The sequence below is a fragment of the Homo sapiens genome, chromosome 18, assembly GCF_000001405.40.
Source record: "Homo sapiens chromosome 18, GRCh38.p14 Primary Assembly".
Lineage (NCBI taxonomy): Eukaryota > Metazoa > Chordata > Mammalia > Primates > Hominidae > Homo > Homo sapiens.
Genome location: NC_000018.10, coordinates 36083644 through 36087399, shown reverse-complemented (window position 1 = coordinate 36087399; position 3756 = coordinate 36083644). Strand labels below are relative to the sequence as shown.

At 46.3% G+C, this 3756-nt stretch overlaps 2 annotated features.

The window, feature by feature from the left end:
* Nucleotides 535–1088: an enhancer, noted in NCBI's record as "H3K27ac hESC enhancer chr18:33666275-33666828 (GRCh37/hg19 assembly coordinates)". NCBI's record gives its function as "activates a minimal SCP1, AML or CMV promoter by ChIP-STARR-seq in primed H9 embryonic stem cells {active_cell/tissue: H9 hESC(primed)}" and the evidence as "EXISTENCE:reporter gene assay evidence [ECO:0000049][PMID:30033119]".
* Nucleotides 2197–2751: an enhancer, noted in NCBI's record as "H3K4me1 hESC enhancer chr18:33664612-33665166 (GRCh37/hg19 assembly coordinates)". NCBI's record gives its function as "activates a minimal SCP1, AML or CMV promoter by ChIP-STARR-seq in primed H9 embryonic stem cells {active_cell/tissue: H9 hESC(primed)}" and the evidence as "EXISTENCE:reporter gene assay evidence [ECO:0000049][PMID:30033119]".

Genomic DNA, 3756 nt, shown 5'->3' with positions numbered 1-3756 from the left:
ACTTTTAGTTCTTCAAGGAATCTCCATACAGTTTTCCATAGTGATTGTACTAGTTTACATTCCCACAAGCAGTGTGAAAGTGTTCCCTTTTCACCACATCCACGATACCATCTGTTATTTTTTGATATTTAAATTATTGTCATTCTTGCAGAAGTAAGGTGGTTTCACATTGTGGTTTTGATTTGCATTTCCCTGATAATTAGTGATATTGAGCATTTTTTATATGTTTGTTGGCCATTTGCATATCTTCTTTTGAGACTTGGCTGTTCATGTCCTTTGCCCACTCTTTGAAGGGATTATTATTTTTTTTCTTGATGATTTGTTTGAGTTTCTTGTAGATTCTGGATATCAGTCCTTTGTTGGATGTATAGTTTGCTAATATTCTCTCCCACTCTGTGAGTTATCTTTTTACTCTGCTGATTATTTCTTTTCTTCTTCTTCTTTTTTTTTTTTTTTTTTTTTTTTGACAGTCTCACTCTGTCAACCAGACTGGAGTGCAGTGGTGGCACAATCTCAGCTCACTGCAACCTTAGTCTCCTGGGGTCAAGCGATTCTCATGCCTTAGCCTGCCAAGGAGCTGGGACTACAGGCATGAGCCACCACACCCTGTTAATTTTTGGAGTTTTAGTAGAGACGGGGCTTCGTCATATTGGCCAGGCTGGTCTCAAACTCCTGACCTCAAATGATCCACCTACCTTGGCCTCCCAAAGTGCCGGGATTACAGGAGTGAGCCACCGTGTCCAGCCTTCTGCTGATTATTTCTTTTGCTGTGCAGAAGCTTTTTAGTTTAATTAGGTCCCATTGTTATGGAATCATTGGAGTGTTGCTTTTTGGCTAGAAACCTCTGTGGCTGGTGGCACCTTTGCCCAAGTTTTGCTCAAACTCACTAGGCTCATTTTGCCCACTCAGCCTGGTAGGCTGCGCTCAGCTCACACTACCGGCCTGGATCACATGCCTCCCAAAGGCCCGGATCCCATGTCTGCTAAGGGTGAGTCAGGCATGGAACAGTGAGGGGTATGTGAGCAAGCATGGGGTCTGGCCACTGTGTACAGTCAGACATGCCAGCTGCTACAGCGGGGCAGGCGGCTCCACATGCTGGCATGGGCACCAGCTCTCTGCGAGGCTGTGGCCAGACCAGGCTCACTGCAAGCAGCTTCCATGGCTGGCAGTGGGGAACGTGGTGATACCCGGAAGCTTGGAGATGCCAGAAACCACAGAGCCCCAAAGAGGCAGTCATAGTTATGGCTCAGGGAGCTCCCAGGTATGGGCTCCCCGAAGGGCTGCAGCTCTTCTCTCCTTCTCTTTGCCTACAACACGGTGAGCAAGAGGCATGCTTCAGTCCTGTTTGTGCTACAGCTTTTTTACCCTTGACATTCAGCAAGTTCCAAGTTGTTGTCCTGCAACCAGGAAGAATGAGGTATGCAGGTAAGTGAAGGGTGAGCAAGATGAAAAGGAGCTTTATGAGCAATAGGACAATTCAGAGGAGCCCCGCAGGGAGCAGCTCCTTTCTGCATCCAGGGTGTCCTGTCAAATGTTCAGCTTTTAGCAGAGAGGGTAGCTCCTCTCTGCAGGCAGGTCATCCCAACAAGTGTTCAGCTCCCAGCAGAGAGGGTACCTCCCCTCTGCAGCTGGTCGTCTTGTCATCTGTCCAGCTCTGGCTGACCCCGGGGCTTTTATGGGCCTCAGAGGGGAGGAAGTGTGTGCTGATTGGTCCATGGGTGGCCATGGATGGGCCCAGAAAAAAGACACCACAAGTTTTCATTCCGGCGCTCAGGACTCGCAGCCCAGCCCCCAGCCTTCAAGCCCTCCCTGGCCTGAAGGTGGGGTCTCACTAGGGATCCACCCTTTTTCACCCAGAAGCCTGTCTCCCTCCTGCCACCATCCATGGCATCTAGGGTGCAGAGTGCGAGAGCTTGAGTCCTGCTCCTGGGAGGGTGGGCCTCCTGCTTGCACCATGGAGCATGCAGGCATCCCCAGCTGTGCCTCCATGCAGCCTGGGGTGGCAGCTCCAGGTCCTCGCTGGGCCCCTCTCTGCCCACCCCTCCATGCCCAACTGTGCTGCTCCCCCACAGCGGGGGGCTCCACCCAGCCCCATCATAGCAGCCTATCATGGCAGGCTCCAGGGAGCTCCCGCTGGTCCCTGATTCTAGCTGGCCTCAGGCCCAGCTCTGCCACCTCATCAGGCCTTCCCTGCAATGGCAGTAGGTGACAGCAGTGACGCAGGGCCAGGGTCCAGAGTGGCAGAGCCTCTGGGCCTGGAATAGGTCTTGCCTGGCCATGCAAGGGTGGGGGCAGTGCAGTTGGCTGCCTCAGGAACACTGGGCACAGGGGACCCACTGCTGCTGTTGCTGCTTTTGCAGCTGCTCCTGCCGCTACCACCCGCGCCCCCCCTCTGTAGCCCATGTGACAGCAGCGGCCACTCTAGATGGCCTGCATCTGCCATTACCATCTATTTATCTTTGTTTTTGTTGTATTTGTTTTTGGATTCTTGGTCGTGAACTCTTTGCCTAAGCAAATGTGTATAAGTTTTCCCGATGTTATCTTCTAGAATTTTTATGATTTCAGGTCTTAGATTGAAGTTTTTGATCCATCTTGAGTTGATTTTTTTGTATAAGGTGAGAGACGAAGAACCAGCTTCATTCTTCCTCATGTAGCTTCCCAATTATCCCAGTGCCATTTATTGAATAGGGTGTCCTTTCCCCACTTTATATTTTGGTTTGCTTTGTTGAAGATTAGTTGGCTATAAATATTTAGCTTTATTTCTGGGTTCTCTATTCTGTTTCATTGGTCTACTTGCCTATTTTTATACTAGTGTCATGCTGTTTTGGTAACTATAGCCTTGTAGTATAGTTGGAAGACAGGTAATGTGATGCCTGTAGATTTGTTCTTTTTGCTTAGTCTTGCTTTGGCTTTGCAGGGTCTTTTTTGGTTCCCTATGAATTTTAGGATGATTTTTTTCTAGTTCTGTTAAGAATGATGATGGTATTTTGATAGGAATTGCATTGAATTTATAGATTGCTTTTGGCAATATGGGTATTTTCACAATATTGATTCTACCCATCCATGAGCATTAGATGTGTTTCAATTTGTTTGTGTCATCTATGATTTCTTTCAGCAGTGTTTTGTAGTTTTCCTTGTAGAGATTTTTCACCTCCTTAGTTAGATATATTCCTAAGTATTTTTTCTTTCTTTCTTTCTTTCTTTCTTTTTTTTTTTGAAGCTGTTGCACAAGGGGTTGAGATCTTGATTTGGTCCTCTGCTTGGTTATTGCTGGTGTACAGCATTGCTACTGATTTGTGTATATTGATTTTGTATCCTGAAACTTTACTGAATTCATTTATCAGATCTAGGAGCTTTTTGAATGAATCTTTATGGTTTTCTAGGTATACGACCACATCATCAGCAAACAGTGACAGTTTCATTTCCTCTTTACTGATTTGGATGCCCTTTATTTCTTTCTCTTGTCTGATTGCTTTAGATAGAACTTCCAGTACTATGTTGAACAGAAGTGGTGAAATTGGGTATCCTGTCTGGCTTCAGTGCTTAGGGTGAATGGTTTCAACTTTTCCCCACTTGGTATAATGTTGGCTGTGAGTTTGTCACAGATGGGTTTTATTATCTTGAGGTGTGTGTCTTCTATGCCGATTTTGCTGAGGGTTTTAATCATAAAGGGATGCTGGATTCTATCAAATGCTTTTCCTGCATCTATTGAGATGATCATATAATTTTTCTTTTTAATTCTCTTTATGTGATGTA